Source organism: Homo sapiens, chromosome 12 (assembly GCF_000001405.40).
Source record: "Homo sapiens chromosome 12, GRCh38.p14 Primary Assembly".
In the NCBI taxonomy this organism is placed as follows: domain Eukaryota; kingdom Metazoa; phylum Chordata; class Mammalia; order Primates; family Hominidae; genus Homo; species Homo sapiens.
In genome coordinates this window covers 85317092-85331036 of record NC_000012.12, presented here as the reverse complement: position 1 = coordinate 85331036, position 13945 = coordinate 85317092, and the positions used below count along the sequence as shown (strand labels likewise).

The following is a 13945-nucleotide window of genomic DNA, read 5'->3' as shown; positions in this document are numbered from 1 at the left end:
GATGACTTCCAACGAGGGAGTTGAAAAGCTGGAGACTTCACAGATATGTTTCTCCAGAAACAGTAGCAGCAGATTTCAAAGAAAATGTCGTAACTTAAAATTTACAAAAAAGTCAGGGAACCATGGCATGTCATAACAAACAAGACACAGAGTGATGCTGTCTAGTCACATAAACCAGTTTGATGCTTTGACTGACTCAATCAGTCAAGTCAGAAGGAAAAAAGAAGGGCTCACCCTGTGATTGACTTGACTGGCATAGACAAAACAATCACACTTGTTTGTGTGTGTAAAGAACCAGTGTGCCTGTGTGTACCCTTCACACAAGAGAAGAGAGGACACAGTGACAAACATTAAGTGACAGAAGTAACTGTGTTAACACACTTTATGATCAGACTGTTCTCTTTACCCTGCAATAACTCTGAAAAAGAGGAGAGGAAGGCAAAGGGAGAAATAGGATAATGAGTTTTAATGGAATTATTAGTGTTAAGTAAATACAGAAGGAATGATGACAAGTCAGTGGCAGAAAAAGCCAAAGTCTAAAAGAAAGGCAAGATTTGATAAAATGGAGGAAAGGAAGAGAGAGAGGGGGTGGAGAAAGGGAGGGAGGAAGGAAGAATGTGAGTATGGGTCCCTGGAGGAAAATAGGAGCTACTGAGGAAAGAGGAAGGTGAGACTTCTGTAAGTCCTGTTTGTGGCAAGGGAGAAAGAACAAGCAAACTTAGGCTTACAGGCAACATAACTCATACACTAAAATGCTCTCTTTGATTGTAGGAAAAATTTCAGCTTATTTATGTCTGTTTAGTTAAGTCTCTGGTGATACAGATTCTACATATTAAGCATTTTAAAATTGTTGTTGCATTTGTGCACTGAAAATGCACATGTATGTCTTGGACAAAAATGAACCATACAAAAATGTTAATTAAAATAAACTGAGGTCAGCTATTTTATCTTGTTCCTGCTTTCTTTCAGTTTACAATGACAAACAATGAACGATAACTGTCATTTGAACCAGCTAGTGAATAGTATTTACCAAGCCATTTCACTCCTGTTGAATCGCTTCTGTATTACTTCTATTTGTTCAGCACAGTACCCTAAAGCATTCTACTGTGTTCATAACTGATTTTCAGAAGGATTTTTTTACCTTTCTCTTTATTATTTTGATGAAATGATTCACTTGACATGTCATTAAATTATAATATGTCATTATTTTCAAATACTATTTTCTATTTTATGAGCTAATCTATTGCATAACCAGGTAAAATATCAAGTTTTACATCGTTTGAAACACTTTTCAAAGGACAATATTTATGTAGCTTTAGACAGCACTGAAAAGATACAGACTAATTTACAAACAGCTCAGCTCTTCTTGCTTTTGAACTGGTAGAGTTCATGTTAGCACACCTAAATTTCAACTGAGCAGTTCAGGTATGGAATACTAACTGCTTTGTTATCTTTCACATCTCTTAAAATGTGCAGAACTCATTTACCTTAAAAAGACGAAATGGGGTTGGGCACTGTGGCTCACACCTGTAATCCCTGCACTTTGGGAGTTTGAGATATGAGGATCACTTGAGCCCAGGAATTCAAGACCAGCCTGAGCAATACAGGGAGACCCCATCTCTTCAAACAATTTAAACAGTAGCTGTGCATGGTGGTGTGTGCCTGTAGTCCCAGCTACTCAGGAGACTGAGGTGAAAGGATGTCTCGAGCCCAGGGGTTCAAGGCTGCAGTGAGCTGTAATTGTGCTACTGCATTCCAGCCCGGACTGGGCAACAGAGCGAAACTATGTGTCAAAGAGGAAGAGAGACAGAGAGAGAATTACTATTAAAAGTTAATTGTTTAAACTGTCTTAATTTAAATGTCTTAAATTAACTACCTTAACTTCAGGTTTTCTTCATTTTGCAAAATATCTGAAAAGAATCTGTATCAATGCATGCAAAATAATGGAGCAGTGACAAACACTTAATCATAAGGTAAATTAGCACAACAGTCAATACATCTATGGTTCAGCCACTCTAGTGATATGAAATTAGGCAGAGATGTCTCCACTCGAGTACCAACATGTATGCTGTAAGATACTCATTTCTTACGTTTACATGGCAACATTTTCAAGCCATTTCTTTGACTCAAGGCTCACATTCTTTGCTATTAAACTGACATGAAGGACACCAGTCAGAGCTTCCTGATATCTAACTATTGCACAACATGATAAAATGTGAGTTGTATTGACTGATTCCATTATTTATTAGTATTATCAACAATAGACTAATGTCCAGCATGTACCAGAGAATAATTCTAAAGATGATCATAAAACAGAAATAATCCTTCTTCTTACATTAAAGCCAAGATCCTGGGTACAGATCAACAATCCTTAAACTACTTTGCCTGCATACTAGGTTGAACAAATGAGTCAATAAATTATAGATAATGGGAGCTAGGTTTCTTGCTGTAAGAGAAAGAAGTCATAAATAAGCAAGACAGAAAACTAGAATTAAACTCTGTGGTGCTGGACTAGAATCACAGATATTACCTGAATGTATGTATTTATATACAGACAGACATACAAACAGACAGACATAATTGGATATAGATATGTGTGTATACATAGGTTAATATACATGACTGGGGCGGGGAACATACAAGATGATCCTGGAGCATCTTGCAGTGCCTGAGAGTAAGGAAGGGCTCAATAAAAACAAGACCAGAGTGTATCAAAAGGAGGCAGGAGCCAATCAGAAAGAATTTCCCAATAGCAAAATCTGAAACAATTTGACAAATGCAATAAATAATTAGGGCATTGAATTATAACCCAAATAATAAAAACAAATATCTATGAGGACACATGGGTATAAATAAATGGTTGAATGGACAAATAAATAAATGGGAGAAAAGGAAAATCTTCTTTACAGGAGAATTTCAAATAATATAGAAAAAATAAAGGAAATGGAAAATCACCATTAGAACACACTATAGTAATTATTAGTGTAGGCAAGAGCCATGAATAAATACTAAAATTAGCAGATGAAACTTTAAGAAGAAATAGGATAATTGAATAGCTGGCAAGTATCTTAGTGATCTGGTTCCCATTACCTGTCTGATCTCTTAACATTTTCCCTTTCACACAATAGGGACAATCCTGCCTCAGGGCCTTACCTCTGTATCTCTGCCTGCAGGGCTCTTCTGCCCCATATCCCCTTGACTCTATTGCAGCTCCTTCAAGTCACCTTTTCAATAAGGCCCTTCTTAATCCATCTCAATTATAAGTATAACCCCCTTTCACCACAGCAATTTCTTACCTGCCCCTCCCTTTTTGTTTTTTTGATTTAGCATTTATCATTTCTAACAAACTATGATTCCCCTTATTTCTTTAGAATATAAACCCATGGGACCAGATAATTTTGTCTGTATTGTTCACTGCTATATTCCAAGTACCTAGAACACTGCCTAGCATCAATGAATATATACTTCTTGAATGAATGAATGAATTCTATAAATATTGCATTTATTCTATGTTTCACATGCTGTGAACAAAATAGACATTATCCCTATGTTCATGGAGGATGCCAGTGTAGTGAGGAGACATACTTACAGTAACAATCATAATAAAGTATGACAATTGTTGTAACCCAGGAAAAAGAAGGTACTAAGAAAGCACTGAGCAGACCAACTAAGTCAATGTCAGCAAAGTGTCAGAAATAAGTGACTTTTAAGTTAGAACCAAAGGAAAGGAAGACCATTAGAAAGAGCGAGAGAAGATTTTTTCTTGGCAAAGGTAAGAGATAGGAAAACTTAAAAGATCAAACAAAGGGTATAGGGCATCCAGGAATGGAACAACATTCAGCCACTGGACTGGAGCATCCAGCAAGAAAGGCTGGAGAGGTTAGCAAATGCCAGATTACGGTAGGCATTGTTAACCATGATACTGGGTTTTGACTTTGATCTAAAGCAACTGAAGACACTGAAGAGATTTAAGCAGAGAAGTGACTCAATCCGACGTCAGCTTTACACTCTTTTTGGAGATAGGTTATGGATCATGATAGATAAAGGCAGAGTTGCAGTAATCCATGCAGACATGGTGAATAGATGACATTTTTATTCCAATGCGGAGAAATTTTCCTATTTATGTTGGTTTCCATGAAATATTTAGAAACAGCTTTTTCCTCAAACTAATGTTATTCATTAACTCATGAAACATATGTTCGGTACAAGTTCACTCTTACTCTCCTTCCCTCCACATGTGTTTAACTTGCACACATACAATCACACACAAATATACGTACACATATATATGTGTACATACATGTTACATTGAGAAATATTTTTAAATAGCTGCTATTGTATAGTAAAATAATTAGGGTCTTGAGAGAATTATTATAAAAGGTATTGATATACATATATTCATAAAATAGTGAAACTTCAATTTCTTTGTAGCTACATGAGTTTTTTAAAAGGCTGAAGGTTATCTATCCTCCCAATTGAAAGTTCAATATAACTTGAGGCCAGGAGTTTGAGAAAAGCCTTGCCAACATGGCAAAACCCCGTCTCTACTAAAAATACAAAAATTAACTGGGTGTGGTGGCAGGCGCCTGCAATTCCAGCTACTCGGGAGGCTGTGGCAGGAGAATCACTTGAACCCAGGAGGCTGAGGTTGCAGTGGGCGAAGATCAAGCCATTGCACTCCAGCCTGGGTGACAAGAGCGAAACTCCGTCTCAAAAAAAAAAAAAAAAAAAAAAAAAAAAAGAAAACGAAAAAGAAAAATAGAAAAGAAAGAAAGACAGTTCAATATAAAATGCTTTGGACGTGGCACGATTTATTTTTTTCATGCACTCAAGGTCAACTTACGGCAACTGACATCACATCAGACTGGCTTTCAAACTTTTGTTATGATCATAGTTAAACTATAAACCCCTTGATGGCAGGATCTATGTCTCAAAAATGTATTCCATTATCCTTTGCAATACTTAGCACAGGGCTCGACACAAAGTAGATATTCGGATTTGATAAATAACAACGTTGCCTATAGATGACGTTTAACTTAAATTAATTCAGCAGATTTTTATTGAGTATTTGCTATATGCAATTTATTGGGTAATGTATGGCTACCCATTAGAAATTCAGAGAGGAGCAAAAAATATATACATTTCACACAGCACTGAGTTTGTTAAACCTATCAGCATATTTAATTAATAGGATTATCACTACTAATATCACAAATGAAAGACATTATTTTTCTACTTTATTTATTTATTTATTTTTCTACACTCCTACTTTCATGAAGTCTTTCTCCAGGATCTCCCTGGCCTCCAAGGCTCTCCTGTCACTTTGCCTCTAAAGCTCTGTAATGAGGTGTCTGAGCCAGCAATAATCCCCAGGGGTTCTCAGTGTTCCAAAATCCCCTCTCTCCCTCCCTCCGCCACAATGAAAACTTGAAACCAGTATTTTGGAAAAGCATTTCTGGAACGTTGCCAGCCTCTACCCTGGACATTAGTGAGAACTGATTTTCATATTTTCATTCCATTAATTTGACCTTATTCCTTCTAGGAAAAAAAAAAAAGAAAGAAAGAAAGAAAAAAAAAGTGGTGGGTTTTTCAGAGGTGGGAGCATTGGTATTAAGGACAATAAAAGAAAGAGTTAAAGTTATTTAACAGGCACCAAAGGAGAAAGAAAGATAATTTAATGTGTTTAACCCTTGCATTTCTCTTCCTTTGAGGACCATATTATGTGTACTTATGATTAACTGCATATTTATTCTTTTAGATTACATTATAGCGAAACAGCCTTTTGCATATTTATTCCTTTAGATTACACTACAGTGAAACAGCCTTTGCCAAAAAAGCAAACACTTGATACTTTCTTTGCTTTCTTTTTTTGCTTTGTCAGTATCTTATCACATTAACTATATATTTCTTCTTTTATTGATCACATCCTTTGACATTGAGAGACAGAAGTATTAGGATACAGTAGCTTGATTCACACTGAAATAACCTGGAAAATGCCTCAGAACCCAGTGGGCCACAAAGAAAAATTCAGGATATTCCAGAGATTCTATGATACAATCACCACTTCATCCCTGCAAGCACAATGAGCTTATAGTAGTTATTTTCCATCCTGGGTAACTAGACCTCATAGTTAGGTTGCTGAGTGAGGGGCTAAGTAACACACCTTGGGGTTACTAAGGGTGTGTTACTAGAGAATATCTCTTAGTCAATGCCAGTCACCCAGTCTTCTGTGAGCCATAAGGGCATTTTAATGTTTATACTCAAAGTTCAAAAAAGTGATGAAAGACTTGGGGGCAGCAGGTTTCTCTGAAACTTGTACCCAAACAGCCATGCAAATCAACAGGGCCGGCACTTCAAAAAACATATGTTAAAAGTGAAAGGTTAGTTGAGGGTCGACAGGGGGGTAACAATTTACCTCATGTCCCTTCAAAATGGTTCACAGGCAAAAGTACTCATTTTCAAGGTTACCTAATTTTCTTCCTTTATCAGTGGAATCAAAAGTAATAATCCAGAGGAGCTCTCTTCTTCCTCTAGGCAGGAAGCTTCCACACTATGCCACTCATGTATTCCTTGCAATTGATTAAGATCGCCTTAGATGTGGGGAAGCTGTTTCTGATCCTCTTATCACAGTGTAAAGTAAAACATGCTTGACTGGTTAATAAAAATGGAAGATGGAGTTACAAAGGGAAAAGTTCACTTGAAAATAGGACCTTCAACTTCACTTGAAAATAAGACTAAAGACCTTTGGTCACACCCAAGAAAGTCAGACAAGCATATTTTAGACAAAGGGAATTGAAGGGTCCTTGGCAAAATTTTTCTAACTTACCATACTTAGGAATATAAGAAAAAGAGCACTCTATACCAGCTGTTTAAATTCAAATACATAAAACATACAAACAAACAAAAAATATTTTCCAGGTTTAAGGTCCAAGGTCTAGGAATGCAATCGCCAAAGGCATCTGTAAAAGCGATTTTTTCATATGCACCAGAACACTAAATGAATTCACTGTATTTCATGAGTTATTAATACGTATGATTTTAATTTCCCCTTTTATAAATAATCATTCTTTTTCTCTAGTTTTTCCATTTATAATATAATCCATTTTGGATACTGCACAAGTAGTCATTTCTCTAAGGTTTTGCTGTAACAATTAGAGACAGTCATAGAACGTTAGGCATCTGATAGATCTCAGGGCTCAGTTAGAGATTTCCTCGTTATTCAGATGGGGAATCCAAGACACAGAGAAACGAAGGTCATGGCAGTGTCAGAACTGGGTTTCCAACAATGCTCTTTCCACAGGAGACCATCTAGACCATAACATTACAACTGTTAACTGTTGGAATTGAAGTTAAATTGCCAGAATTTAAATCCTGGCTCTACCACTGACTAACTGTGTGACTTTGGATGAATTACTTAACCTCTCTAAAATTTAGTTTCCTTATCTATCAATGGGATAATAATAATAGGTGTCTCACAGAGTGCTTTCTAAAGTGATTAGTACTTAGCAGGATAAAAAAAATGGTATATTAACTTTTGTAGTTGTAATACATCAAGGATTATTTGTAATCTCACCTCTATTTGGGCTGTGAAAGTGGGAATTAATATTTTCTCCTGGGGAAGTTTGCTAGAAAGGAAATATTTGAAATCAAACAACCACCATGACAAATTCTTATTTTCTATATTCCAGATCCTCTTAGCAGCAGTGTGTCAGATATCACTCAATGTCAATTTTTTATTAATATCTATCTACATTACTCAGTCATTCAAAAAGATGTTGCAAAAACAATCATGAGATATTCAATGAGATAGTAATTAAAAACAGATATAAGAAATCAAAAATAGCTACAGAACATAAAGAACATTAAACACAAAACAGTTATTATGACTTGCAGAAACTTAATTTCTGAAAATTGAATTATTTTTATTGTCAACAGGAAGAATATCTTTTATTGGCACTTGTTTTTAAATAAGGCGATTCACCAACTTATATGTAGCACTTGTTATAGCACTCTGAATATATCTTTTTAGAGAACACTCCTCTCTGTGGTTGAAAAGTTCACAAGAGGCCTCTTTCCTTTCTCAAGCCTCACATAAATGGAGCCATTTCAGAACGTTGCTAAGCACTTAGGAAGAGTTTGCAATGTGGTTTGTTTTAGTGCTGGGAAATTCTTTTTGGTGTTACCCTGACCTCAAGTGGTCTATTTCCTAATGCTTTTAGGAATGAAAACATTATTTTTTATTCAAACCTATTTTATTTTTTAGACAGTTTATAAATTACATAGAGAACATTAAGTAAGATTTAATAGCCAGAGTGTTTCCTTAAAGTCTGAAATGGAATTGTTGCAAAGGCCAATTTGGTCTTTGGGGTTTATCCTACTTTATTTTTTGTTCTCTCCCTTCACCTCATCTCCGTATTGCCAAACTATATGTTCTTCTTGCCCTGAATCTCATATTTGGTGCTACTGCTGGCATAGGTAGTTTTACATAATTTATTTTTATTTTCTTGCAGTGAAACTATGTATCTGTTCCCTCAAGACCCTGGACAAAGTATGTAGACTTTTATGAGCATCAGTTGTTTCCATGATTAAGGTCCATACGAATACTTCAGCATCTATCCAAATTGGGGAATTATAATTATTCTTAAAGCATAGAGCTTCAAGAATGCAGGCTCACAGATCATATAAAGATCATTTTAAAGACCATCTCAGCCACTTACTATACCTCTTGAGTAAAACACTTAAGTTTTCAAAGCCTTAAGCATCATCATCTATAAAATGGATATAAAAGTGAAATTGACTTCAAGAAGGTATTGAAATAATTAAATGTAATAATGTAAGTAAAAAACTTAGCATTATGTGTAGCACACTAAGTGGTCAAAAATGTTACCTACTGTCACTACCATATAAAACAACTGGCTTATGTGGTTGAGTGAAATGGTACCTATTATTATTAAATATTAGTGCCGTGGCATGTAACAATAATGATAATAAACCTATACTAACTTCTAGGTTAATAGGCAGTAATAACTTGATGTGCCATCTTTCACAGGCAACACTATACATATTAACTCTTCTGGTGACACTCAACCTTATTCCACTGATGGAAGTAAGCATGATTTGGAAGGCAGCTAGGTAGATCAGGTCCTTCAAACTTCAGTTCACAGGTGGCCGTGTACTCTGATCATACATCAGGCCTGCCCTGACTGTTGCTTATGGGGGTGGGGGCTGGGGGATTTAGCCATACCACATGTGCTTTTCATTAGTGAGAATTATATTTTACCTTTGAAGTTCTTGTTTTAAAATCCAACATACTTAATGCTCAGCAATCCAAATTATATATAACTACTCAAGAACTTTACATATCTCTTTATGGGCTTACAGATTTCTGTATGAAATACAAACTTTCTTTTACATATACTAAATCCCAAGAACATTTATTTTGGAAAATTTTCGGTGCTCTACTTCAAAACAGATGAACGTGACCCCAGAAAGCTAGGTGTATTACACAAATTATGCAATCCCATATCTGAATCAGGCATTCCAAAAACTTGTTTTTAACAACAAAAATCAAGTAGACATACACATTTACCCTACAACGAAATCTATATAATTATTTCCCAAATTGGTTATTACCTAACAAAACTACTCTGTTCTGTTTAGATTAGAAAAATCACCTATTTTATACAACACCTTTTGGAAATTCACTACATAAATTGATATGTTAATGGTTCTGAAAATTCCTAGAGGATGGAAATTGGTTTAGGCTTGTTTTACCCAGCAGGTAAAAAAACTTATAATATTTTTGCTTTTGAAGAACACCTGTTATCAACCTGAACAATGAAACATCTTTGACACATGTTGTGGAGGAAAATATTGATCTAGATGACAAATATAGAAAAATCAATATTTTCTCCCTATGGATTGGGTAAGTGGGCAATATTTAGCATGTCATCTGTTATTTCCAACCTCTGGAAGGCAGAGGGAACCCAATCTTTGGCTGCAATTTCAGTAAGTTACAAATTTAGCAGCCTAGGGTTCAACTTCGTATGCCTTTGTGCTTAGGGAAGCTAAATTGCTATAGTCTGAATGTTTGTGTCCCCTCAAAAATCATATGTTGAAACTTAATACCCATTTTGAAGATATTAAGAGGAGGGACCTTTGAAGGTGTTTAGGTCATTAGGGTGAAGCCCTCATGAATGAGATTAGTGGCCTATAATGAACCTGTGAGACCAGAGTTTTTTCCTTTACCCATACGAGGACACAGTGAGAAGGCATCATCTATCAGTGACCAAATCTATCTTGCTAGTGCCTTGATCTTGGACTTCCCAGCCTCCAGACTGTAAAAATAAATTTCTGTTGTTTGTAAGCCACCTGGTTCATGGTATTTTGTTACAGCCTTAATGACCTAAGACATAAGGCTTGCCAGGAATTACTTGAAAATGATTGATATCATTTCAAAAATTCTAAACTAAAATTTCTAATTTAATTTTAAACACATCAAAATAGGTGTAAACTACATCTTGATATTCATAATACATCCTAAAATGGCTTAAGGATTTGAATTAAAGTTGTTTAATTCATTCATTCATTTAAAAATACCAAATAAATATTTATTGGGCACCAAGCATTGGATATTTAGATGCTGGAAACATGCTGCTGAAAAAGATAGATTCTTTGTCCTTAAGGATGATGACAGAGATGGATGTATTATACAAATAATAGATAAGAAATGAGTGTTGTGATAGAGTAAACATAGGATGCTACAGGAGCAAATCAGAGGAGTGTTTAGCCAAATCATAGGGTATGGTTTCAGGGAAGATATCCCTAGGACATAGCATTGCCAGAGAAAATAGAGAATGTCCAATAACATTTGATTTTCATATAAACAATGAGTAATTTCTTAATATAATTATGTCCCATGCAATATCTGTTGCTAGGTGTCTTGTATTTCCATTTGCTAAATTTGACAACACTACTTGAATACAACCTTTAAGTTTCAATCTGAAGGAAAACAAAGCATTAGCCAAATGAAAAGACAGAAAAGACCAATAGAGGCAAATGGACTCACCTGTACAAGGTGAATATTTAAGCACAGACACAGTGCCTGAAGAGAAGTACATGTAGGTCAGTGTAGTAGGATTAGAGATTTGGATGAGGAGAAGGTATGTAATCATATTTTGGATTGTCTGCTTTCTTTAGAGATGTTGGAGAGCCATTAGGTAGTTTTGTGTTTAGTGCTATCAGATTTGTGATTTAGAAGAAAACCATCTGGAGTGGGACCAGACTCAAGAATCATCCTGAGTGGGCCAGGTGCAGTGACTTGTGCCTGTAATCTCAACACTTTGGGAGGCTGAGGCAGGAGGATCACTTGAGCCTGAGAGTTCAAGATCACTCTGGGCAATATAGCAAAACTTCACCTCTGAGAAAAAGGAGAAGAAAAAGAAGAAGGAGAGGGAGAGGGAGAGGAAGAAGAGGAATAAGAAAGAGGAGGAGGAGGAGGACAAAGAGGAGGGGGAGGGGAGGGGAATGTAGGGGGGAGAGGAAGGGAGGAGAGGGGGAAGGGGAAAGAAGGAAGAAGGAAGAGGGAAGGAGGAGGAGGAGGAAGAGGAGAAGAAGGGGGAGGAAAGAAGAAAGGAGAAAGAAAGAAAATAAGTAAGGAGGGAAGGAAGGAAGGAAGGAGGGAAGGAAAAGAAAGAAAGAAAAGAAAGAAGGAAGGAAGGAAAAGAAGGAAGGAAAGAAGGAAGACACTGAGTGTTGTTAGTAAATTTACTGTGGGATGATAGTGGCTTGAATTAATATGATGGCAATACAGGTGAAGCGAATTAATGACAAAATAGATTTAGAAATTACAGTAATGCTTGGAAGTTCAGATCCCGAAGTCAAACTGCTCTGCCACTTATGAGATGTGTGTGGTAATTTCCCAAATAAGTGAAGAATACAGTTGTTTCAGTCTATATAAGCAGACTCCCTCTCTGAGCCGTTTCTCACTTAATATGGGCCTAATAATACAGAGGATTGTTGTAGTAATAAAATAAATAATACGTTAAAAATACTTACCATAAGTTTTGATAGCTGATGCCTATGAGGGAGAAGAGACAGGAATTTTAAAAAAAATGACACTCAAGTTTGTATTACAGAAGAAATAATAGAGGAATAACAGAGAAATGAAAAGCAGTAGCCCAAGAATGGACTCACACAAATATAGTCAACTGATCTTTGACAAAGGAGCTAAGATGATTCAAGGGAGAAATGATACTTTTTCAATAAAATACTTTTTTTTCAACAACTGGACATCCACATACAAAAGAAAAAAAATGAATCTAGGCATAGTCCTTATACTTTTCACAAAAATTAGCTCAAAAGGTATTAAAGACTTAAGTGTAAATCATAAAACTATAAAACTCTTAAGAAATAATATAGGAGAAAATCTAGGTGACCTTATGTTTGGCAACAACTTTTTAGATACAATACCAAAAGCCCGATCCATAAAACAAAAAATTAGTGAGTTAGACTTCATTAAAATTAAAAACTTCTGTTCTGTGAGAAACTTTGTCAAGAGAAAGAAATAAAAAGCGAAGAGAGGAGCCAAGATGGCCGAATAGGAACAGCTCCTGTCTACAGCTCCCAGCGTGAGGGACGCATAAGACGGGTGATTTCTGCATTTCCATCTGAGGTACCGGGTTCATCTCACTAGGGAGTGCCAGACAGTGGGCGCAGGTCAGTGGGTGCGCGCACCCTGAGCGAGCCGAAGCAGGGCGAGGCATTGCCTCACTTGGGAAGCGCAAGGGGTCAGGGAGTTCCCTTTCCAAGTCAAAGAAAGGGGTGACGGACGGCACCTGGAAAATCGGGTCACTCCCACCCGAATACTGCGCTTTTCCGAAGGGCTTAAAAAACGGCGCACCACGAGATTATATCACGCACCTGGCTCGGAGGGTCCTACGCCCACGGAGTCTCGCTGATTGCTAGCACAGCAGTCTGAGATCAAACTGCAAGGCGGAAGACAGGCTGGGGGAGGGGCGCCCGCCATTGCCCAGGCTTGATTAGGTAAACAAAGCAGCCGGGAAGCTCGAACTGGGTGGAGCCCACCACAGCTCAAGGAGGACTGCCTGCCTCTGTAGGCTCCACCTCTGGGGGCAGGGCATAGACAAACAAAAAGACAACAGTAACCTCTGCAGACTTAAATGTCCCTGTCTGACAGCTTTGAAGAGAGCAGTGGTTCTCCCAGCACGCAGCTGGAGATCTGAGAATGGGCAGACTGCCTCCTCAAGTGGGTCCCTGACCCCTGACCCCCGAGCAGCCTAATTGGGAGGCACCCCCCAGCAGGGGCACACTGACACCTCACACGGCAGGGTATTACAACAGACCTGCAGCTGACGGTCCTGTCTGTTAGAAGGAAAACTAACAAACAGAAAGGACATCCACACCAAAAACCCATCTGTACATCACCATCATCAAAGACCAAAAGTAGATAAAACCACAAAGATGGGGAAAAAACAGAACAGAAAAACTGGAAACTCTAAAACGCAGAGCGCCTCTCCTCCTCCAAAGGAATGCAGTTCCTCACCAGCAACGGAACAAAGCTGGATGGAGAATGACTTTGACGAGCTGAGAGAAGAAGGCTTCAGACGATCAAATTACTCTGAGCTATGGGAGGACATTCAAACCAAAGGCAAAGAAGTTGAAAACTTTGAAAAAAATTTAGAAGAATGTATAACTAGAATAACCAATACAGAGAAGTGCTTAAAGGAGCTGATGGAGCTGAAAACCAAGGCTCGAGAACTATGTGAAGAATGCAGAAGCCTCAGGAGCCGATGCGATCAACTGGAAGAAAGGGTATCAGCAATGGAAGATGAAATGAATGAAATGAAGCGAGAAGGGAAGTTTAGAGAAAAAAGAATAAAAAGAAATGAGCAAAGCCTCCAAGAAATATGGGACTATGTGAAAA

At 37.3% G+C, this 13945-nt stretch overlaps 1 long non-coding RNA gene across 2 annotated transcripts in view, besides 4 other annotated features; it reads right to left on the bottom strand.

Moving 5' to 3' along the window:
* The window catches only part of LINC02820 (long intergenic non-protein coding RNA 2820), a 172109-nt gene extending 159091 nt beyond the window's left edge, over window positions 1-13018 (bottom strand). For both annotated transcript variants that reach the window (NR_183553.1, NR_183554.1), the window contains exon 1: window positions 12922-13018. This is a non-coding gene — a long non-coding RNA (long intergenic non-protein coding RNA 2820). The remainder of the gene's footprint in view (window positions 1-12921) is intronic.
* Window positions 12294-12895: an enhancer, noted in NCBI's record as "H3K27ac-H3K4me1 hESC enhancer chr12:85711920-85712521 (GRCh37/hg19 assembly coordinates)". NCBI's record gives its function as "activates a minimal SCP1, AML or CMV promoter by ChIP-STARR-seq in naive and primed H9 embryonic stem cells {active_cell/tissue: H9 hESC(naive and primed)}" and the evidence as "EXISTENCE:reporter gene assay evidence [ECO:0000049][PMID:30033119]".
* Window positions 12294-13498: a biological region, named in NCBI's record as "H3K27ac-H3K4me1 hESC enhancers GRCh37_chr12:85711317-85711919 and GRCh37_chr12:85711920-85712521".
* Window positions 12872-13166: an enhancer, noted in NCBI's record as "tiled region #9199; HepG2 Activating non-DNase unmatched - State 24:Quies, and K562 Activating non-DNase unmatched - State 9:DNaseU". NCBI's record gives its function as "activates a minimal TATA promoter and a strong SV40 promoter by Sharpr-MPRA in HepG2 and K562 cells {active_cell/tissue: HepG2 | K562}" and the evidence as "EXISTENCE:reporter gene assay evidence [ECO:0000049][PMID:27701403]".
* Window positions 12896-13498: an enhancer, noted in NCBI's record as "H3K27ac-H3K4me1 hESC enhancer chr12:85711317-85711919 (GRCh37/hg19 assembly coordinates)". NCBI's record gives its function as "activates a minimal SCP1, AML or CMV promoter by ChIP-STARR-seq in primed H9 embryonic stem cells {active_cell/tissue: H9 hESC(primed)}" and the evidence as "EXISTENCE:reporter gene assay evidence [ECO:0000049][PMID:30033119]".